This window comes from Homo sapiens, chromosome 8, assembly GCF_000001405.40.
Source record: "Homo sapiens chromosome 8, GRCh38.p14 Primary Assembly".
In the NCBI taxonomy this organism is placed as follows: Eukaryota; Metazoa; Chordata; class Mammalia; order Primates; family Hominidae; genus Homo; species Homo sapiens.
The window spans coordinates 112,265,105-112,290,597 of NC_000008.11; the positions used below are offsets into that span (position 1 = coordinate 112,265,105).

The 25,493-nt window shown below is 34.6% G+C and overlaps 1 protein-coding gene across 10 annotated transcripts in view; it reads right to left on the reverse strand.

The window, feature by feature from the left end:
* CSMD3 (CUB and Sushi multiple domains 3) overlaps window positions 1-25,493 on the reverse strand; it is a 1,214,012-nt gene that overhangs the window by 42,177 nt on the left and 1,146,342 nt on the right. For all 10 annotated transcript variants that reach the window (NM_001363185.1, XM_017013010.2, NM_052900.3 and 7 more), the window contains 4 exons: window positions 24,261-24,434; window positions 21,960-22,142; window positions 16,070-16,246; window positions 307-486 (listed from right to left, as the gene is read on the reverse strand). In NM_001363185.1, the coding sequence (NP_001350114.1) occupies window positions 307-486; window positions 16,070-16,246; window positions 21,960-22,142; window positions 24,261-24,434 (714 nt within the window). The remainder of the gene's footprint in view (window positions 1-306; window positions 487-16,069; window positions 16,247-21,959; window positions 22,143-24,260; window positions 24,435-25,493) is intronic.

A 25,493-nucleotide genomic window follows, 5' to 3' on the forward strand; every position in this document is an offset into this window, starting at 1 on the left:
TTTGAAAATATTCATCAATTTATATAAATAACAATGGTGAATATGGACATAATATTTTACTTATTTTTGTTACATTAAAGCTTATTGTCATTACTCACAATAAGATATAATGTTTTTGTCAAAATATTATTTTAAATTCTATATATTAAAATAAAATTTTTAAGAAACAGCCATTTTTAGTACTAGAAAAATAAATGCAACCTGGAACTAAAAAATTTTATTTAAGTATACTTTAAATTTGTATATAAAAATAAGAAAATATGTACTGGTTACCATTTTTAAATGTTGAAGAAATCATTATCATACCTCTACAAGTTGGCATTACTCCACTCCATGTGCCATTAATTGTACAAGTCCTGATTCTGGAGCCATTCAATTCCATCGTGTAGCCTGGCTGGCACATGTAAGAAACATTTTGTCCAACCACATAATCATCTCCATATCTCAGTCCATTGGCTGGTATACCTGGGTCTCCACAACTGATTACTGTCAGTATTGGATTAGAAGAGCAGATGGTTAATGAGGCATGTATTTAATGGAGAGGAGTAGTAAGCATATGGCATACTTAATATATAAGCAGGAAAATTAGTTATCGTGTTCATTTTTAATCATAAAACATAAACATATTTAAACCACATACTGGCAATTCCTGATTATGATCAGGTATGCTTATTACAGATTCTACACATATGGCTCAGAAACTGTCACTTAGCCCCTGAAAAGGCTAGGTTAATATGCCATTATGTTGTAGTGAATTTGATGCAGTAACCTCTTCTAACCTTCACTATAAGACCACAGAGAAAACAATCTGCAGAATCAGATTTCTAACATAATATTTGAAATTCATATTCCTATATATGGCTACTGAAGTATCTAATTTATCAGGCATGCTGGATGGAGAGCATATTTTCTGCAGTGTCACTCAGAAAGACAACCCCCAAGAAATTGCAACCTTCACTCTGGAATGTGCTTGTTATAAGAAATGCAGATGTATGAGGGGCCATCCCATCCAAGTCCTTGACCAATACATGATGATGTTTCCAGCCCAAAATAGGGACTGTCACTGCTCTGTTCTGCCCCAAGACTCCATTAATATATCCAACTCTGACGATCCTCACGTTTGCATCCAACCCCTAAAAGGAGGTAGGACAATAGTGCAATGTGAACCTCTCTTTACTGATGACACAATGGATGAGCTGGGTGGAGGGTGTCACGTTTTGCAGAGCAGGGATGGAAATGGGGAGGCCATGCAGGGCCAGGGGCAACAGGTTGTCAGGAGCAAAAGGTCTAGACCCATCCCAAGGACACAAGAAAGAAGGCAACAAGGCAGACTGCACATGAGCAGAAGCTCCAAGCCCTCAGAATATGCTGCACTGTTCCAGTGGACTTCAATTACAAAATGTTAATTTGAAGATAAAATTATTAAGAATTTTGAGATGGCTATCACAGAGCATTAAACTCTAAGCACAAGACTCTTCTGAGCATGAGATCCTATGAGTTGCACTGATCTCATGCCCATGAGTGTAAGTGCACACATAATATTATCGTTTCTTTATAATGCCAGCCAAAATGTTTCAGAAAGACTTGAGACAGCTTAGAAACACAAATAACAATTTCATTAAAAATGTATTTTGATTAAATACAAACATAAGATTCAAACACTACAAAGATTATATATGTCACACAAGTGATAACTGTTTTGAGGCACAGGATTTAAGCTTAATTTGGGCAGCGAATTGGCTAAAAAACTTTCTACCAGCTAAGAAAACGAAAACTACAAGTTACACTTTATTTTCTGGAGATAAAAAACATGTAGTATACTTAACATGCCTTTTAGTCTGCTAAATCTTTTGGTTCATAAAAGGGTAATTTCTCCAGGTAAATCTGGGTTATTTTTTTTCTCTCTCTCTCTGTCTACTCCTCTTTCTGTCTTTTTTAAATTCACTTTTCCCAATATTTTGGAGATTCAGGATTAAAGATTAAGAATGAATTAAGGCATGGAAGACCTTAAGAACACCTTAGTTACATTGTATTTATTATGTTATCATTAAGAATGATTAATGTCAAGATTCCTTTCATATTCTATTCTGTTGATTCTAAGAAGTTTTAGGATTATGAATAATGGCATTTAAATTAAACAACATCATTCAGAGCATTCAACCTCATAACTTTTGGAGCCCTTAAAACAGTTCGATGAAATTAAACTGTTTGAGTGTTTCTTTCTCAATAATAATAGAGTTTTATATTCAGGACTGCTTTCCTTCCTATGATTATTGGGGAGTAAAAAGATTTTTTTTAATGATACAACTGAGTTGGATAGAAAATCAAATAATTCTACTCATGTACCGACAATACGTCATCTCTTTTTATAGTTTAAAAATTTACAAGAATGTAAAAATGAGTATAAGCCTTCAATTTATTATTTTATTTTATTTTATATTTATAACCAAGATTTTTAATTAGGAAGAGGAAATTAAAGAGAACACCTATAAAGTGTTGTTGTTTTCTGGGCAGTGCTTTCCAGACTGCATTAGAATCTTGGCAAGGAGAAATAGCCAGCCTGGTCACAGGGCACATGAGCTGAGATGCGGCCACCAAAAGAGAGGACAGAGCGTTTATTTTACAGATGCACGAAGAAAGAGTTCTGCACATCATGGCACCACCATGAATGAAATGCGTGACAACAAAAGCTTTAGAAGGGTTTGTTTGGTGACTTCCTAATGAAGCAAAGGCTAGTCAAAGAGGCAGTTTCCAAGAGCAACAGTCTTTGTAAACAGCACCTGCTCTGCAAGTCAATTCATTCACTACCAGCTTGTTTTCAGAGACAACCAAAAAAAAAAAGGCTTTTGGTTTTTTCAGGAAAAAAACCTTAGAATAGTAGCTCTTTAGTGCTTCACCCTAAAATTCAGCGATATCATTGTATGACAACAAATTCAGAAATACCATTGCATAATAAGAAGATCATTGACCTTCTTAAATACCCATCTCTCTCACACAAACACACCAATAAACTCCATAAAGGCAGATACTTTGACTCTTGTATGCTATTTTCTTAAGAGTCTCATCTAGTGTATGACTCATCATAAGAGATTAAATATTTGTTTGAAGGATAAATAAATGAATGAGTACATAAAGGAATCATTAAGTTGTCAGCTCAAATTCTCAAAAACACATAAATTATTTGAAAGGTCTGAATTTGTTTTGTGGGAGGCTTCTCAATATGTAATTGATGCCCATCTGGCATCATTTATGATAAATCTAAGTAAATAACCTCTATGCTACAAATAAAACATAATTGTGGTAATTCTAGTCAATCTATGCCGCTTTAAAACTACTTTCTCTTTTAACTTCTTATACAAGCATTGTAAATGTGCATTTTAAAATAAAATAAAGTCACATTACTTTTTTCACAGGATTCACTTTTTTATTCAATATCTAATGGATATTTTTGCATGTAACTATTAATATACATAGACATGCATAACATTTTTAATGGCATATTAATCCCATGCAATATAATTTATGCAACCAAAGACCTATGGACTGGTGTTTGAGTTATTCCACTGCTTTTCTGTTACAGACAATGCAGCAACGAAAATGCTTGCTTGAGCATCATTACATATGTATGTGCTCTGCCATACTTCTAGCTTCAAGCCCAGAACAGAGTTCTACTGTAGCAAAATGAAGTTCCAGAAAGAATGGCTAAACCATTCCTCTCATAATGCTTCTGATTTTACACAATCTCCACATTCAAAAAGTTGGTTTCTTCTTTAGATCTCAAAAGGCAGGGTTTCTCTACCTTAAGCTTGACCCTATTGACATTTTCAGTCAAACAATTCTTCGTTGTGAGGGGCTGCTCTGTGCATTGTAGAATGTTCTGCAATATATCTCTGGCATCTGCCTGCTAGATCCAAAAGCACCCCCTGCCCCTGCACTGTGACAATCAAAAAGTATCTTCAAACATTTCCAAATGTCCCCTGGGAAGCAAAATCCTCTCTAGTTGAGAACCACTGTGCTGAGGAATAGCTCTCACTCCTTGAGGAGATTTAGATTATTTTTTATCTGCGCTCAGTTTTATGCTGGGATATCCCCAGCCCTCTCTTTTGTAAGACTAACCCCATCTTCCTGATCTGTCCTCTGTTAGAAAAACATCTTTGAGAATTTTCAGATTTGTGACAAAAATTCAGTCAGGGGCATTTCGATAGGTGGCTATTTGGAAAAGGAAGCCTTAGATTCATTTATCACCTGGACCTGATTAAAGATGGTGTCCTTAGCCCAAAGGAACAAGACTTCCCAGATGCAGGATGTTGGGGGTTGGTCCTTTTGGACGCAGAAGTCCAGTCAGTTTTCTAAAAATATCATCCAAGAAAATGAATAAGCACATGTCTTTTCAGACCAGAAAGCTAATTCTTACTCTACTTGGCAAGCCCTGTCTCAGCACTGTTTGTGTCTTCTTCCCAAAACACCATATGCACTCTGTGTATGATGGGCTCTAGGTAACAGAGGTGGTACTGCCTGTTAGACATTGAAAGCTAAGGATCCCCTTATAATTAATATCCCAAAACATTTTGTACTGACAAAAAAATGTAATTTTGAAAGAGTAATTACATGTACTTATTATATCTTCTCTCTCTGTCTGAACATCATAGAAAATAACTTCACTACATTTTAAATCAAGGAATTGATTTGAGCGATCTGGTATTATGCCAAATATCTTTTTCTTCTAGTTTGGTTAGCTCTGTGCATGTTTCTTCACACTTATAATCCCTCTGTCAAAGTGTGCATAACATTTTAATGCATGATCTTGATTTCAAGATACAATATTTTACCCACCCAGGAGGCAACTAGTTATTCTGAGGAAACTTCTCCTTCCACCACTGGTAGTGGGCTTAATGAGGACATGTCTGGAGTTAGAAACAATGAGTGTTGGGAAAAGGGAAAAGATTTTGCTTATGAGGCATACTTTTAGAGATAGATTAATTAGACTTGCAATTTTCCAACTCACGTATAGTCTGAAGCCGGTTGAATAACAGCAGGTAGAATTTAGATGAGTAAAAGTTTATGCTTTTACCAACATCTCTACTATGGCCAAGCATAGGGGATTGGAGACCTTACCATTATTATTAAATCACATTTATTCCAAAGATGTTTCTAAAATCATTGAAATGAACAAGGCAAATCACAGCTGACACATTTCCACATATAATTGAACTAGAATTTCTAAAAAACAGAGGGGTGAGTGTGTGTGTGTGTGTGTGTGTGTGTGTGTGTGTGTGTGTGTGTGTGTGTGTGTTACTGCTGGACAATAGAGCAAATGAAAAGGTATAGTTGCAAATAACTCCAGTGGGAAATTCTCAAAGGTAAAATTCTCAAAGGAAATTCTCAAAGGTCAAAAATGCTTGGAATTCCAAAGTTACTTCACTGATCTGTGAAATATTAGGGAGCAGATACCTTACCGACTGAACTCTGTCTTCTCAGTTCCTAGCAAAGTGCCCAATGATAGTAGGTTTTGTTTAAATGATTTTTTATTAACTGAATCTATAAAAAATCCAGTTCCATTGTATACTCACAGTTATGTTTCTACTTTGTTTTTAAAGGTTTTTGTAAGAAAACATGCTCTAATATAAGTTAAAGATTTTTGAAAAGCTAAAAATTGGATTATTCCTCTGATTTGTCATTACTCAGGAGGAACTAAGTGCCCAAAGATAACTAGCCAAGGTAAAAAACAAAAACCTCTTAAAGTGACCAAAATCTTATAATTAAAAAGTAAAAAGAAATCCAAATAAAATTGAAGTCTTTATATTTTGTCTTTACCACATAGTTTAACTATATTTTAAGGGTATTATTAATTTTCTCAAGGGCCTCTATTCATTCTTTCATTCTCAAATCACCCTACATTGAAATATCTATCATATAATCAATCTTGCTGATTTTCTTTCTTTGAACTGACATTGTCATAAATCTACTAGATCCTCTTTGTCAATGATTATGTACAAGATTCAACGAGCACTCTTGTTCACTTGCTTTGACTCATCACATTAAAATATCTCATCTCTTGTGAAACCTGCAGACTTATTTATTGACTTACATTATATTTGCTTTGTACATCTGACAAAAATATCATTGATAACAAATAAATAGGAAATTGTAATGTTAAACTGGAAGTATTGTTTAGCAAAAACAAATTTTACAAATGGTCGTTTCATTAAGAAATGATATAATTTTGCAGAATTCAAATTGGTAAATGCAGAGAAAACAGAAATTAAAAATTTTTTAGAGAAATAGGTCATAAATTAATGAGACATTTTCATATGCCTTATCACCAATGTTCTACTTATTATAGTATGTCATATACATTTGACCATTGTAGTGAAGACAGAGAATAAAGCAAGAAAACTAAATGGAGAAAAGTACAGAAGAAGAGATAAAAGTATACTAAAGAACATGGATTCTTGAGTGAAATAGACTAGGGTTTAAATCTTACATTCTACAGTTACTAGCTATGTTACCATGGAAAAGAAAGTTGTTTCCTCTCTAAGAAACCATTTATTTGAATGTGAAATAAAAAGGATAACAGTATATATCTCATAGATTTGTTGTAATAATTGAGATAATTATGTAAATCAGCACAAATCCGAACAAATGGTAAACACTCAATAACAGATACTATTATTTATGAGAAGAAATAGTAATAATTAGCATGAAAAGAATAAAGGCTTTGTTTCTTTAGTGCTATGGTTTTAATATCTCTTCAAAATTCATGTGCTAATTTAATCCCCAATTCCATAGTATTAAAAGGTAGGGGCTTTGGGAAGTTATTAAGTCATGAGGGCCCTCTCCCCATGAATGAGGTTAGTGCCTTCTAAAAGTGTGGGAGGGAACTATTAATAGCTAGGCCCCTTTTTGCTCTTTCACCTTCTGCCAGTCAGGGCGTAACATGCACCCCTTTTGTCATGTGAGGACACAGAAGCAAGGTGCCATCTTAGAAGCAACAAGTAGCCCTCACCAGACACAGGATCTGCTAGCACCTTGATCTTGGACTTCTCAGCCTCCAGAATTTTGAGAAATAAATGTTTGTTCTTTAGTATTTAACCCTGTCTCAGGAATTTTATTATAGCAGCACAAATAGACTAAGACATTCGGGTTTTCTAAAAATTGATATCAGGATGTTGGTTTGGAAAGTTCAGCTACTTCAAATTTTTTGCATACCTCATTAATTTAATTCAAATTCATATAGTAACTGGCATACATCAAATAATTTATTTCAAATTCATATAGTAACTGGCCTATAGTAACCATAAAATTTATATAGTCTGGGCATATAGTAACCATAAAAATTGTGTCTACAGAGGCAATTATAACACATCAAAATTTATTAAAAACATATTTACACTTGAAATTAGCCTTCTAGTGGGTATAGAGAATAACATGAATGGAAAATTTCATCTATATATGTGAAATATAGATGAAATTATTGTTTAGTGTTGAGCTCTGCCCGTAGTCAGGAAGCCCTCTAAATACGTGATGCCTGAGTTTCTTGATCTAGACAATGTGAGTCTAGGACAATTCCCAAAATAATATGATTCTACCAATCATATATTTAAATTTATGTTCATTGCAAATGAATGAGAAGGAATCTGAAGCACTGATTCTAATTTAATTTGATTACCACATATAAACACTATCACTATGCTAGATTCTTTAATTACAGAAGTTTAGGCTGTTTTAATTTCCACTGAAACCTCTCTCTTTGTTTCTTTTTGGGGGTTTTTATTTACGCTTTTGGTTTGGATTGTTAATGGGGTGTTAGTAACTTTTTGCCTATGAAGTACATAAACTTACAAATTATCAGCTTTTAGTTTAATAGCAATTCATTGTTGAAAAGCTAACACTTAAATTATTTTATGCAATACGATATTTCTCTTTGAAGAACTGACAGAAACAAACTTTCCTTATACTTTTCCTATGTTATTCATAATCAATCTGTCTTGAATCAAATGACTTATAATTTAACATTCCTGAGGAAAAATGAAGACAATTCAATAAAAATGTCAATGTAATTTTCAATCACAAAAATAGGAATGTTTATTTATTTTTATTTCACTAAAATTGGAAGACAGCTGTAAATAAAAGATTGAGTTATTTATCCATAAATAAACAAAATTGTTATTCATTGTAAAAAAAAAATGAAAGTGTTCCTCAGCATATTTCTGTTACTCTGAACTATTTTCATTATTTCAATCTCTTCAATGACTATTATTGAAAACTTACTATATGCCAGAACCTATGTGCTATGTTAGCCATACAGTTGTAGGCCCTATCTGCAAGTAGTTTAAAATTGAGTTGGACGGTGGCTCACACCTGTAATCCCAGCACTTTGGGAGGCCGAGGCGGGTGGATCACAAGGTCAGGAGATCGAGACCATCCTGGATAACACGGTGAAACCCCGTCTCTACTAAAAATACAAAAAAAATAGCCAGGCTTGGTGGCAGGCGCCTGTAGTCCCAGCTACTTGGGAGGCTGAGGCAGGAGAATGGCGTGAACCCGGTAGGTGGAGTTTGCAGTGAGCCGAGATCATGCCACTGCACTCCAGCCTGGGTGACAGAGTGAGACTCTGTCTCAAAAAAAAAAAAAAAAAATTGAGTTGGAATGGTAAATCATGTATACTGATAACTAAAATAAAATTTGTCTATTGAAGTCTGTCACCAACAATTTACTGAGTTGCTCTTATTCATCAGGTGCTATGCTCCACCATAAAGGGCCAGTGAGATAAACAGACCCAGTCATTACTGCTCTATAAAGTTTACAGTTTAGTGGTATAGGTAACATACAAAAAAAAAAAAAAAGCTATACAGTATGGAGAGATTACTTTTAGCTAAAAAGGATATGAGGAGAAAATGTCTTGAGGTGTTTTGCCAAATGTTTCACATGAACTGATACTTAAAAGGTGGATAAGAGTTTTAAAGGCTACGGTGGGATAGTGTTAAGTTGTTCACTATTGCAAAAATGAGATATTTTCTAAGTAAGTAAGAGGAATTCAGCTTTCCTTCAACGTGGAGTAACAAGGAAGAATTTACCTTCCATCTGAAAGAACCAAAAGAAAAAAAAAAAGGAAAGAGTATATTTAAAAAAAAGAAATATTTCAAAACAATGGACATTAGGCAACAAAGCACAGTGATTCTTGAGTGACAGGAAACAAATTAGTTGAATCCCCTGATTGCCTCATCTTACTACATTAAGAGAGTTTCAAGTCTGTGGCACAGGGAAGAGGAAGCTATGCATAGCCCAGCAGACTCCTTGAGTTGAGAAGATGGATCTGAGAGTCAAGAGAAAACTATGCAGGTAGAGTTTATGGGACATGGTACCAGAGTCGACATTGACAGAGAAATGTCTCTAGAGATATAGGAAGGAAACTCCTTAAACAGTCAGCAGATTTCTGATCAGCTCCTGAGGAAACTGCCCATGGTTTGAGAAAAAACTACCCCAAAAGATGAGATGTAACAATATCTGGAGCTGACATGGGGCCAGGAATGCCACTTGTCATACAGAATTCTATACCCAGCAAAAATATGTATTTTAAAAGGTGAAATGAAACATATGCACACAAAGAAAAGCTGAAAACATTATCATAAGTAGAAATGGACCACAAGACAAATTTAAAGAAGTCCTTCCAGTGGAAGAAAAATAATACCTCATGCAAGTATGTATCTACACAAAAATATTACAACACTTGAAGTAGTAATGACGTACATAAATAAGATTTGTCTTACTATTTAAATCTCTTGAAGAAATAGTTGACTAATTAAAGTTGTTTAACTACGCTGCGTGGTGTTTTGGTGTTTGTAACATTGACTAAGTAAAATGTTTGACTACAAGAGCATTTGCATAAAGAACCTTTTGATGCTTCAAGTTCTACCTCCCCATTCCCCTTCTACTCCACATCTGGGCAAGCCAACAAGAAAGTCGGCTTGCTTCCTCATTTGGCATCAGCAGGGAAGTTCAAACCATGCAAACCCTGGCACACTCACTAGAACTTTTCCCAAGTTCCCAACCACTAACCACAATAAAAAAAAAAGCAAAACTATATGTATAAGTACATTTTTCACACTGCTGATAAAGACGTACCTGAGACTGGATAATTTATAAAGAAAAAGAGGTTTAGGCTGGGCACGGTGGCTCTCGCCTGTAACCCCAGCACTTTGGGAGGCCGAGGCAGACGGATCACCTGATGTCAGGAGTTCAAGACCAGCCTGATCAACATGGCGAAACCCTGTCTCTACTAAAAATACAAAATTAGCCAGGCATGGTGGTGGGTGTCTGTAATCCCAACTACTCAGGAAGCTGAGGCAGGAGAATCACTTGAACCCAGGAGGCAGAGGTTGCAGTGAGCCAAAATTGCACCATTGCACTCCAGCCTGGGCAACAAGAGCGAAACTCCATCTCAAAAAGAATAAAAAAAAGAAAAAGAGGTTTAATGGACTCACAGTTCCAAGTGGCTAGGGAGGTCTCACAATCATGGCAGAAGGTGGAAGGCACATCTTACATGGTGGCAGGCAAGAAAGAATGAGAACCAAGCAAAAGTGGAAACCTCTTATAAAATCATCAGATCTTGTGAGACTTATTCACTACATGAGACAAGTATGGGAGAAACCACCTCCATGATTCAATTATCTCTCACTGGGTCCCTCCCACAAAATGTCGAAATTATGGGAGTTACAATTAAAGATGAGATTTGGTTGGGGCTACAGCCAAACCATATTATTCCAAGCGTGGCCCCTCACAAATCTCATATCCTCACACTTCAAAACAAATCATGCCTTCCCAATAGTTCCCAAAAGTCTTAACTCATTTCAGTATTAACTCAAAAGTCCATAGTCCCAAACCTCATCTGACACAAGACAAGTACTTCCACCTATGAACCTATAAAATCAGAAGGAAGTTAGTTACTTCCTAGATACAATGGGGGTACAGGCATTGGATAATAGCTGTTCCAAATGGGAGAAATTGGCCAAAATGAAGGGGCTACAGGCCCCACACAAGTCCAAAATCCAGCAAGGCAGTCAAACCTTAAAGCTCCAAAATAATCTTCTGTGACTACATGTCTCACATCCAGGTCACTGATGCAAGAGATGGGTTCCCATCATCTTGGGCAGCTCCACCCCTGTGGCTTTGCAGGTACAGCCTCCCTCTCACCTGCTTTCACAGGCTGGCATTGAGTAACTGTGACTTTTCCAGGCACATGTTACAAGTTGTCGATGTATCTCCCTTTCTGGAGTATGAAGGACAGTGACCCTCTTCTCACAGCTCCACTAGGCAGTGCCTCAGTGCAGACTCTGTGTAGGGGCTCCAACCCCATGTTTCTCTTCACCAAGATAATGGGGAAAATGTCCCCAGGGCATAACAGAACTCTGTGACAGCTCCTCCCATCACAGGCCTGGAAGTCTAGGAGGAAAAAACGGTTTCATGGGTCAGACCCAGGGCCTTCCTACTGTGTGCAGTCTAGGAATTTGGTGCCCTGCATCCAAGCCACTCTAGCCATGGCTAAAGGGGTCAAGGTACAGCTCAGGCCATGACTTCAGAGTGTACAAGTCCTTGAAGACCCCACTCCTGCAGCAAACTTCTGCCTGGACGTACAGGCATGTCCATACATCATTTGAAATCTAGGTAGATGTTCCAAAACCTCAATTCTTGACTTCTGTGCACCTGCAGCCTCAACACCACATGGAAGCTGCCAAGGCTTGGGGCTTGCACACTCCAAAGCCACAGCCTGAGCCATACCTTGGTCCCTTTAGCCATGGGTGGGATGCAGGGCACCAAGTTCCTAGACTGCACACAGCAGGAAGGCCCTGGGTTTGACTCACAAAACCATTTTTTCCTCCTAGACCTCCAGGCCTGTGATGGGAGGAGCTGCCACAGACTTCTCTCTTGTGCTCTGGAGACATTTTTCCTATTGTTTTGGCAATTAACATTTGGCTCCTCATTACTTTCACAAATTTCTACAGCCAGCTTGTATTTCTTCTCAGAAAATGGGTTTTTCTTTACTATTGCATTGCCAGGCTGCAAATTTTCTGAACTTTTATATTCTATTTCCCTTTTAAAACTGAATGCTTTTTAACAGCACCTGAATCACCTCCTGAATGCTTTGCTGCTTAGACATTTCTTCCACCAGATACCGTAAATCATCTCCCTCAAGTTCAAAGTTCCACAAATCTCTAGGGCAAGGGCAAAATGCTGCCAGTCTCTTTACTAAAACGTAGCAAGAGTCACCTTTACTCCAGTTTCCAACAAGTTCCTCATCTCCATCTGAAACTATCTCAGCCTGGATTTCATTGTCCATATCATTATCAGCATTTTGCTCAAAGCCATTCAACAAGTCTCTAGGAAGTTCCAAACTTTCCCACATTTTTCTGTCTTCTCCTGAGCCCTCCAAACTGTTCCAACCTCTGCCTATTACTCAGTTCCAAAGCCACTTCTACATTTTGGGGTATCTTTACAGCAGCACCCAACTGCCAGTACCAATTTACTGTATTAGTCTGCTTTCACACTGCTGAAAAAGACATACCCAAGACTGGGTAATTTATAAAGAAAAAGAGATTTAATGGACTCACAGTTCCAAGTGGCTGGGGAGGCCTCACAATTATAGCAGAAGGAGAAAGGCACATCTTACATGGTGACAGTCAAGAGAGAATGAGAACCAAGTGAAAGGGGACACCCCTTATAAAATCATCAGATCTTATGAGACTTAGCACTACCACGAGAACAGTATGGGGGAAACTGCCCCATGATTAAATTATCTCCCACTGGGTCCCTCCCACAACACATGGGAATTATGGGAGCTACAATCTAAGATGAGATTTGGGTGGGGACACAGCCAACCCATATCACTATTCATCCATCCCTTCTCTCAAACCATTTCTGACCAAAGAGAGTCTTACCATGTGGGTAATCTTTCATACCTTCTTGGGACATCTTCAGCCTTGTGGCATAATCAGTCAATATGGAACCAATTCTGGGGAGGGGGCAGTTGATCATGCTCTTTCTTAGGCAACCACAGAGCAACTGGCAGTGAGTAGGGTGGCCCAAGGGATGACTATCATTACCTGAGGGACTTTTTTGTTGTTGTTTGTGACTTGATAACTGGCTCTGCTGCCACCTGGCTAGAGAGTGCTTGGTGCTGTGCTAGTGTACTTACACTTTGAGATGTGCTGATTTTGATGCATTTTCTGAGCTTTTCTGGCCTCTGCCAAGATTTAAATGATAGATCTAAGTCAGAAGTATTGAAAATTGACATTCAGAGACAGGAGTATTGGCTTGTGGTCCTTCCCAAAGTGATTCTGAGTTCTGTGCCTCTCAGCTTAGACTTATCTGTGTGTCTTAGATTTAATCATATGTCTCAAATTTAGTGCAAGCCATGAATGATGCTAGGCTCAGATGAATGTCTTACTCTATGACTATTGGTTATGTGTCTCAAGCAGGTGTTGACTCCCATTCTATAGAGTGCTCAGGGGAAAGGCTGGCACACTGTGCAATAAGTATGCTTATCCAATGCTTGCCTATCTGACAAGGAGTGGTCACCATGTGGTGTCCTCCAGTCCATACCTAAACTCAGATGGCTTTAGGTATCTAAAACAACCTTCGTTGTTGTTGCTACTGTCTATGTGTCTGTCATCAAAAAGATTCTGGTTCTCAGGGAAGAACACCCATATCATCTCATAGCACAGCTGTGGGCTTAATTCAAACCTGACTTAAGCCTGGAGTCCCTAAACCCAATAACAACTGCCCTGTGGGAGACCCCCAACATTTAAAATAATGATTTGGAACTCTCTGGAGGAAGATACATATAAATAAGGACAGAGTAGAGAAGATTGCCCTTCTTCCTGAAGCGTATCCTGTAACTCCACCCCCAAAAAACAACAACAACAACAACAACAACAACAACAACAACAACAACAAAACACTAGGATACAGGGAGAAGAAACAAAAATTGAAATAAAGATCCACAACTGGACTCAATTGAAAATACAAATTTTTCTAAAATAGTTATTCAACAGAAAGATAAAATAACAGAATTGGATTTCACATCTCCACAATATGGGTTTTAAATGAACAGATTCTGATATGTAGTACTTGAAAAATCTTTGTGGTCTTCATAGATACTGGGCCTCAAATTACAGTTATATGAGGAGATACCACTGAATGTACAAGGTATATCCTGTACTTTAGAGGAGTTACCAAACACAAAACAGAAGGCAAACATGTATGTCTCACCTTAAACATTGAAACTGTTGCTTTGCCTAAATTCCTTGTGGTCAGAGTGCCCATTGACCTATAGCACCTGATACGGACATTTTGAACCAATTAGTAATAAATTAATATTAATTATCTGGCATTTACAATCAGCTTGGTAAAATGGAGCCCCTTGGACCTGTCCTTCTAATTACAATAGTTAATACAGCCCAACTTAGATTAAAACAAGGTCTACAGTAATTAAGAACCATCATATAACACCTACTGAAGGAAACAACTATTGTTCCTACTGCCTTCCCTTTAAATAGTCCAATTTGTTCAGTGTTTAAACCTGATAAAAAATAATTGGCATGGGAAAGTTGATTACCACAGCCTAAATACCCTGATGCCCCTGATTAAGACCTCCATATCAATATTACTGAAGTTGTTGGTTCCTATCAATAACTGGAAAATATTTTGCTATTATAGGTTTAGTGAATATGTTCTATTCAGTACTTATTTCAACAGCTTCCCAAGCATAGTTTGTTTTCACTTTTGAAGAGACAAAATATACGTGGGTATCTCAACAGCCCTTGTGTGACATTGCACACAAACTTTGCATGCAATATATTAACTACAACTGATTTTCTCCAGGAATGCATGTATGCCATTATTTTGAGGGCAACAAATTCATTTGACCCATTCATCCAGAAAATGCAAACAAAAAGGAGCCCAGAAATAAAAGGGGATTATCTCACCCACACAATACAAGGCCATGCCTTCTCAGTTAATTTTCTGATAATTATTTGGTCAGCAAAAGTATATATACTCTGTCCAAACTGCAATACAAAAGGCCCTCCCACTAGTATCCCCAAGTCTCCTTTGCTACAGAGGCTTCAGCAACATCCTCTCATGATACTTAGAATCCATGAACACACAGTCTAAACAATTTTCTTTTGAGACAGGGTCTCACTCTGTCACCCAAGCTGTAGTGCAGTGTTACATTCGGAGTTCACTACATCCTTGACCTCCTGGGCTCAGGTGATCCTCTCATCTCAGCCTCCTGAGTACCTGGGACTCCAGGCATGCACCACCACACTTGACTAAGTTTTGTATTTTTTGTAGAGACAGGGTTTTTGCCATGTTTCCCAGGGTGATCTCAAACTCCTGGGCTCAAGCGATCTACACATCTCAGCCTCCAAAAGTGCTAATTCTTCTTAATGAAAATAACCATAATTTCCAATGGTTGTGTATTATTGTTGGTTAAATACTATTTATTTTATAAATAAGCAATAATGTGTATAATTTTAAGACTTTTAAACACATTTTTCAAAAATTTCTTCAAGGGAGTAATTTTATTATAATGCAGAATCTCCAAAGTGCCATCTATTTTTAACATAACAAGAGAGCAAATCAGTTATCGAGACTCACTACGACAGTGCAAGAACCCATAAAGAATCAGTATGCCTTTTAAAAATCAATTTTGTTATTAATATGTGTTATATTGACAAAATAAAATTGCATCCATTCTATTTTTAATTTTAATTGCAGCTATAAATCATCATTGTTCTTAAAATTCTGTTAAATTACATTTATTAGTGCTGACTTCCTCTGACCTCTCTTTCTGCTGCCAGTTAATGTAGTACCTTGATAAGCCAACTTATCCTAAAGTCATTAGTATACACTCAGCCATGGTAACTACTATAATCCTTTAATCTGAAAGGCAGTACAAACAGTTAAAACCTTACATGGTTTTATTAATTACAAAACACACAAAAATACTTATATACTCATCAATACTTTCATATAATTACTGATTTTTAAATATTGAGAATATACTTACTTGTACAGTTAGGTAAAGTTCCAGACCATGTTCCATTGGCTGTGCACTGTCTAACTGAAGGTCCAGAAAGGATGTATCCCTCCATGCAGGAATAAATGACTGAACTAGAAAATGTTGTGCCATCAATTCGGAAGACTTTCCCATTGGCTGTGGTTCCTGGGTTACCACACTGCACAGCTATAAAACAAAGTGTTTAAGAGTATATATAAAAAATGCAATCAGAAATTCTTCCCAAAAAAGTTAATGACTAAACGATTCTTTCAAATTATTCAAAGAAGCAATAAAAACTTCTAAAATAAGTAGTAAAGTATCTAGGTAGTTGAAATTCAAGATGAATGTATGTTGATTTTATTCGCTTAATTACTGGGATGCAAATTATAACATTTTCTTAAGACTTTTTTTAGCAGCTTCAGTAAAAACTCTACAGAGTAAAATAATTATTCAAAGAGTACTGTATTGGCTTCAGGTACCACAAAATCTTTTAGAGAAGGATTATAAGAATCTCTGTCTAAAAAGCAACTCATGTAAAATTGGAAGACATGTAACAATGAGTGATGAGATGCAACAGAGATTTATTACATTTATATTTCAGAAAAGACAGATACACAATTTTAATATTGTAAGCATCTATGTATATTTTTGTTTGTATAAGTACATAACTGTTTTGCATTAAAATGTATAAATTCTATTTCTAGACCAGAGTACCAAAACTAAACCGAGTAAAAACAAAGTAATTAAATATTAGTAATCGTTTTCATTAAGTTTCAATATATTCTAAATAAAAGTTACAAACACGAATGTCTTTTTATGATTAACTATTTTATATATGTGTTTAACTATTTGTCAACAATATGTTAATTTTTAAACTATCTGACTTAAAAGCTATAATATATCAAACGTAATACTTAATTTTCTTGTAATATCAGAAGGCATTTTAGTACCTTACAGAAGTGAAGGCTTTTATGGATATGAAATATGATTATAATTTCAGAAAATACCATCTGCATCTCTTGCTGCATCTTAAATATTTCTTTTTGCCTATCATTTGTATAACTGCCGTGTGTGTGTGTGTGTGTGCATGCGCGTATGTGTGTGTATGCATGTGTAGGCAAGAACCTTATCCATTTTACATATATACATAAAAATCAAACTCTAGATAATATTTTAAGCAGAACCTATGATAAAACAGACATTTTTACTTTGTTGTTAAGCATGATTACTTTCTTCTAAATGCATTAGTGCCTGCCTGAAATAAAATTTTGGCCATGTTTACTTGTTATATATCATGATCCATAGCTTGACGTAATGCAAGAAGGATTTGAGATAATGTCATCTTTTAAAATGTCATGTAATTTTTATTTTGAAATAGAGACCTAGGCAGAGTCAAATTTCTGCACAATAAAAATCAAGAATTTCTTTAGTCAGGGTGGTTTCAAGATATGGCCAAATCGTACTGTTGTTTCTGTTCTCTTGACTTTAATTCCTCCACACCTAATACACAAATTTCTCCTATCCAGACATTTTATTTGAACTAAGCACAAGTAAAATTAACTTAAAATGAAACAAGGTAAGTGCGTCATCTATCATGAGTGAAGGCTTAAAGCTTGCTGGATACAATGAAAGGAAACAGCAACTACTTTGCCTCTGCAATATTGACATTTAGGAGAAAAATGATTTATTGTTGCCTGTGAATAAACCTGCATTTACATTTAGTACTAGTCAACCAAACCATCTCTTCTCACAAGAGTCATTTCCCAGCAGTCAACAGACATAATCTAATAAAAATGAGAGTTACTATTTTTTTAGATTCATTAAGCACTTAATATGTCACAGCCACAACTTTTCCAAAATTATTTACTTCTCACAAAAATGTTCTGAGTTAGTATTAACATCACCACCATTTCTTAATAGGAAAGTGAGGCACAGAAAGATTAAGTAACTTGCCCAATCTCACAAAGCTAGTTAATAGCAGATTGTTCATCTAGTACAAATTCCTAGGAATGATGCTGATAGCATACAATAAAAGCATTGAATCATATTCAGGGTAGGAAATAAGCTGAAACATAATACATGTTTGTAAATTGAATTTTTTTTTGTGATGCATCTTTATAGGAAGTATATTTTATATGTTTGCCTTTCTTTTGTTGCTAGAGAGAACTCTTATTTTAAAAATCATGGTACCATTTGTTTCCTTGTATCAAAGTAATAAGTAGTCATTTCTAAAATGACAAAAAGAAGTATAAGGAAGAAAGTAAAGATTGCTTAAAATTCCACCACTGAAAAATAGAAATTGATATTTATATATGCATATGTGTATATGATTATGTATTAATATGAATATAATTATTTCAATATTCTATGCTTTGTGTTAGGTATAGAGTATACAACAGTGAAATATTAATTTACTCTTTTTTATTTCTATTTTTCTTACATAAAATTACAATTAAGGTATCTTTCTATCATAAAGTTTAGTAACTGTATGGTTTTCCATACAGTTAATAATTTACCTAACCAATTCCCTGTTGAAAAACATTTAGTTAGGCTTGGTTTTATTTTTCTATGATTTTTAGATATAACATACTAGAACTTATATTTACAACTCTGTACATTAGTTCTATGTTTAAGATAAATATCTAAAATAATTTCTGGATCATATTTTAGTAGGGTGACTGTAATTAACAACAGTGTATTGTACATTTCAAAATAGCTAGAAGTGAGGACCTGAAATATTATCAACACATAGAAATAATAAATGCTTGTGGTGATGGATATCATAAATATTCTGACTGGATCATTACACATTTATGCATGTAACAAAATATCACATGTGCCCCATTAATATGTAAAATTATGTATCAATAAAAAATACCTAAAACATTAAAAATTTAACTTGTTTGAAATATATTGCCACAGAACCACTAAAGATATTATAACAATACACACTTGTATTGATAGCATAAAACTTTGCTTGTGTTCACACCTCCTATGTAACACCATTTGCCATCATTTAAAAGAATCTCAGTTTGTCAAAAATGTTACATTCTTCAAATTTGCATTTCTCTATTGATTAAATGAAGTCACTTAAACACATTATTTAATATTTTTATTTTTACATGTGCTTTATCCTTCACATTCTGAAAATACCTTTCATGTTTTATTATAAATTATTAAAGTAATATGACAGCAATAGAAAACATTTGGAATAAAGAGTAAAAATACCAATAATTTCACAACTCTGTCCTAGTATTATTTTTTTGTGTATTTCCTTTCATACTTTCACTTAAATGAATATCATTTCTCATGGTTCTAATATAGCACATAATTTTAAATCTTATTTCTAAGTTTTATATAATGTACATTTTCTCATATTGCTTCATGGCCTATATCGTAATATTTTATTGACTATACTCTATTAGATCATGTAAACATAAAATTGCTTAAGCAATACTTTTCCTAGTGTAAGATTGTTCCAAATTATTGCTAGTTATAAACAGAAATAAAAATTACATTTTCATAATTGTGTGTTCTCTTTAATATTTCTATTTTCCTTGGAAAACATTCCACAAAAGTGGAGTAATAAACTGAAGCAATAGATATATCCCATGAATATTTATCATTCTATTCATTATCAGTTTGAGAGCAATTTTTGTCAAATTGCTCTCAAAATATAACAATAAAAATCATCTTGAAATATTTTAAAGTTCTAGTTTTGCTGCTCCCGCACACAATAATTTTATATTACCGTGTTTAAAATAGGTGAAAATGATACCTTAATATTTAATCATAATTTTTTATTAGTAGTTCTGTTGAATTTTTTCTATAGGTTACAGTTTTTTTTTATTTCTGCTTTCTGTTCATATCCTTTATCCATTCGTCTACTAAAATCTGTTTGTGTAAGTGATTGGTATCAGCTTCATTTATGAGAAAAATATTAATTCTATTGTATTTGCTACAACTAATAGTTCTCCTTTTATCCATAATATGCATGCTAACAAAGCAATATCAGCACAAGTCTGCATTTCATCTATAAAATATTTTGTAGGTCAGCTGAACAAAGGACTGACTTAGATGTCACCTACACAATGTTGCATGTATAATGATGCCCACAGCATCATTAAAAAGACCTTGACTTTGGAAAATAAGTTTGAGAAATAAAGAGTTTAGTCTCTCTTACTGTATTTTACTCAGCACTATGTTTTCCAAGTCTTTTCCCTATATCAACTAAGTTGCAACTCCTTCTTAAGATTATTAAAACTGACCCAGTTACAAAAAGATAACTATCTTTTCTAGAATATAAATATTAAACATAATCAAATATTTCTATAACATAGTCAATCAAAAAACCCTCAGGAAAGTTTGATTGGGAATTATCTTCTATTTACAAAACCAATATGTTTGGTACAACGTCAAGTAAGTTTAAAAATATTTTGCAAGTTTAGTTTTTCCAATAAAATAATCACAAAAAGAACAATTAAGGTCAATACAATAATTTTCTAGCAACATTTTATTTACTAGTCAATTTTGTAAAATATTTTTCTTTTTCCTTTTTATCTTTCTTTTTTTTTAAACAGAGTCTCGCTCTGTCACCTAGGCTAGAGTGCAGTGGCATAATCATGGTTCACTGCAGCCTCTGCCTCCTGGACTCAGTGATCCTCCTGCCTTAGCATCCGGAGTCGCTAGGACTACAGGCATATGCCACCACACCTGGCTAATTTTTAAGATTTTTGTAGAGATGTGGTCTCAGGCTGGGTCCTACTCAGGCTGGTTCAAACTCCTGGCCTCAAGTGATCCTCCTGCCTCAGTGTCCCAAATTGTGGGGTTTACAGGCTTCAGCCACAACTGGCACTCTTGTAAAGATTTAATTATGTTAACTCTGAGTCAGAACAATTAAAATTTTACTCAAACACCCTAGATGTTGTGAATTCTAGTAACTAACAGTTGTACTCTACAATTAAAAATCTTAATAATACTTCTGTATGTTTCTATATTTTTCCATTTCTACAAACTAGAAGCTAAGACAGACATTGAGGTTATGTTAGGGTAAGAATAACCTATCATTTTCTCTTGTCTCTACAATATAGGTACACTAGTCTCCCCTTATCTACTATTCTTTCCACAGTTTCACTTAGCCATGGTCAATCATGGTCTAAAAATAATATATGGAAAATTCCAGAAATAGCCAATCCATATATTTTAAGTTCTGAGTAGCATGATGAAATATCATGTCGTCCCACATGGAAAGTGAATCATCCCTTGTCCAGGGTACCTACCCTGTATATGATATCCACTCGTCAGTCACCTAATATCTGCCTTAGTTATCAGATCAAAAGATCACAAGAAGAAGGGTGAGTACAGTCAACAAGATATTTTGAGTGAGAGACCATATTCACATAACTTTTATTCTAGTATATTGCTATAATTGTTCTATTTTACTATTATAGTTTTAATCTCCTACTGTGCATAATTTATAAATAAAACTTTATTACAGGTATGTGTGAAAAAATCATAGAAATAAAGGGTTAGGTAGTATCTGCGTTTTCAGGCTCCCACTAAAAGTCTTGGAATGTATTCTCCATGGATAAAGGAGGGACTACTGTAAAGAGGAAAGAATAAATATTTTTAACAAATATATATTACTTTTTAAATCTAAACATTTGCTATGTTGTGAACAATGTTTGCATATATATGACCAATGAGGGTTTTTTAAAAAAATTATCGGTTATAGTTATCTTAGGAGATGGTTACAGTATAATGGGAATACGACTGTTTTATTTCATAGTTGCAGGCAGAATAAACTAGTAAGAGTAATTTTCCTAGTAGTACTCATCTGGATTTAGATACACACTAAAATCCAGTAGTTGCAATATATTTAATTTCTGCTTGAGATTACCTTTGCACTCTGGCTGCCTTCCGGTCCAACTGCCATTAGCTAAACATGTTCTTTCTTCTGAGCCATGAAGGATGTAACCAGTATCACAAGCATAACGTACAGTACTTTTAGTTCTGAAATTGCTTTCCTGTCTAGAGCCATGGCCGGGAGTACCTGGATCGCCACATGTCCCAGTAGCATCACCTGCAATGCAGTACAGTTCAAGTTAACCAATTCCCATAAACATTTATTAAGTTTACCAGTTAGTCCAAGGGCCTGGTAGGCATTTGTTTTTGTGCATGCGGTGTTTTAGCACAGATGGAGTAAAATTGTAATTCATATTTCTTATCTGACTCCAGTCATTAAAAAAAAGTGTAAATGAAAAAGAAAATAGTTGCAGAGTACAGTGTTACTTTTTTATCAGTGAATTTGGAGACGTTAAATAGGTTAAGGATATTTCATAAGTTTTTCCAAACCTAGTTAATAACCAAGCTAATGGAAAATGTGTAACTGACAGTACTATGAACTCAAATGACAACAGACTCATAAAACCAAAATTTAAAAAAAACTGAATTCTGCAATTTGCATGTTTCCTTTTCTGAATTTCCTGATTACTGATAATATTTTTATTGTTTTTGTTAAAGTAGAACTGTGGTGTGCTAGGACATGTAAATATTATAATACAGTTCTGATAGCCTAGGTTTCTCTCTCTTATTTTCTCTACCAATGACCAATGATCAAAGATGAATGAACTGCATATTCCTCGTATATGAAAACATAAAAATAAAATGTAAAAGACCAAAATTTAGAAACTCTGACTTAAGTTTCTGATAAGAATATTGCTCATAACTAGGCGTTCATCTTTTGATTTTAGTGTTAAAGATTTACTCAGTCTTTACCTAGTCGTTTTATCATTTCTTAAATAATCCTAATCAAAATTGCCATAGTGTTAATATACATTGAGAGAGAGAGTGAGCGAGCTAGAGAGAAAGAGAGAGAGAGAGAGAGAAGGGTTGAAAATATAAGCATTGAAAATGTTCTTTCCATTTGTCCTTTTTATATGCCTTGTGTATTTGGAATACTTCATTATATGTCCTTATTTTCATGTGATGTAAAATTAATAACCACACAAAATTTTAAGATTAGTATTTCACTTTTAAATATCTGTGTACCATTTTATTACTCAATTTAGTAGCAGTTTCCTAATTTCCTAATACATTGTGGGGTGGGGGCGGGGGGTGAGTCTGTGTGTTCGCATGTATAAGCAGTTATCTGAGAGTTAATTTACTATGAGTCACTCCAAGATAAGACTTTAATTCTCATAAAATCAATTTTATAGTTACATTAAAAATGATAGTTTTTCTAAATCTGTAGATTACATTCAAAGTCCCAGGCAGTCACTTCATAGGGATTAATCACTAGTTAAAAGATTTGGGGTTAATTTACCATTTCACTGCTTTTAACTCTAAAGTGAAAATAATGTAAAACAACTCCTAGTAAGTCATCAGAATGGTATCCACAGAGATAAAGTAGTGTAAAGACAATGGACAATATATAAATATAAAGAAAAAGCAGAAAAATAAGCACAATATCTGGTTGATGGGTAAAAATAAATAGTATCAACTAGGGAGCCATCATAGATCTAAAACGTAAATGGTGTTTTTGAAAAAAAGTGGTAACTTAAACGTTTATCTCAGAAAAGATTTACCAAATACTTACTCTGTGAACAAATTATTAATTAAAATATCTTTAATACTGATTTATGCAAAGATAACTCTAAGCAATATGTCACTTATTAATATTAGGATAGATAAATATCTTTAATAAAATGAATTAGATTAGTTCAATTTACAACATTTTGGACTTTATTTTAAAATTATACCATTAAAGTAATCAATTGCTTAGAAAGTTAAACAGAACTGAACTCTGACAGAAAACCACTGATACAATATTGCCTTCTGGGGAAAATTATATGTGGTATCTGCTAAAATGGGATAGATACTTTAGCTTGAATAGTTTCACCATTTTAACGAACAAAAGCACTTCATACAGTGTAGCATCCTAAAACCATAAATTCTTTAAATTAGCAACACAGTTCAAAACACAAACTTGTAATTTATCATCTACAACATCAGTACCCTGCATTTCTATAGCCTTACACATATTCCAGTAATGTGTAAGCAGTGTTTCAGCTTTTCTTATGAGATTTTTCAGAGAGAAATATATTTTAAGTCTTTAGATTGTTTTGTGTATACGTTGCTACTACTACTACTAACAATAATGTAATTTCCAACACATATTGTCCAATTTTCCAAGTGGTACCTGAACAATGAGGTTGTGATCCACTCCAATGGCCATTCAATTGGCAGGTTCTTGATGACTGGCCTAAAAGGGAACGCTTTCCTGTGCAGGAATAGTGAACAGTAGACCCAAAAGTATACTTCTCGCCAGACAGGACTGCATTAGGAGGAACGCCAGGGTGTCCACAGTCAATCACTACAATACATAATTATTAAATATAAAATTTTTTTATATCTCCTATCGAACAACCTATACCAGCATGTTTATAGAACATACCAGAAGTAAATGTTCTGCTGAAACATCTAAAGCCTCCAGAAATCAAACATCTATGTTGAAGGTGTCTTTTTAAAAACAAAGTGGAGTTTGCAGCTATAGCAGCTGTTCTGTTAACTTACTCATTCCGAGGATGAGTTTAACAGCAACATTGTAAGCTAAGTAAGCATTAAAAATAATTAAGTGATTATGATAAATCTGTACGTGTGAGAGTGATGAGTGTGTGTCCACATATATATGTGTATGAGTTCGAACTGTATCTGTTCCTGGTAAAATCTGTGAAAGTTAAGGAGAAGATTAATGTGGATTTGCTAAGTAAGGACATAGGACACCATGTGGATTTAAAGTGAAGCAATACAGAAATTACATGAAAAGAACTTGAGGGTTCAAGAGATTCAATGAAGATTGATCTGTGATTCACAATTTAATATATAGTCTAGAATCATTACATTTCAAGTCAGTAATGAATAAATTATGCTGTAAAAAGACAATACTCAGTGGCTTATAAACTAAAACTGCTACTCATAGCAGAATCAAAAGTCAATACATTGTAGAATATTCTTTATGAGTGATAGGTAGTTTCAGAATTTAACATGTGTCCCCTGTTAGTTGTACTCAGAGAAATACTGAGTGTCACATATCTCTAGAGTATCATACAGCACATGAGGACACAAAAACTTAATAAAACCTTTCAGTATATAATACTCTACCAGGGAGAGCTATAGGAAATGATAAGTCAAAAAACATATGAGAGCTCAGAACACCTGAAGAACTTCAGGTTTACAAGTCCTATGAAGAGATTTTTAACTTTAATGTGGTAGCTACATAAGAATAAGTAAGTAAATTATTCAAATAATTAGACCAGTCAACACAAATAAGTCAAATGAATTTTAATCAGCAGGCCAAATTACTGAACTATATGCATAGAATCAAATTTTACAGACACAGCAAAAAGTGTTGTTTCTTCATTAGTACATGAAT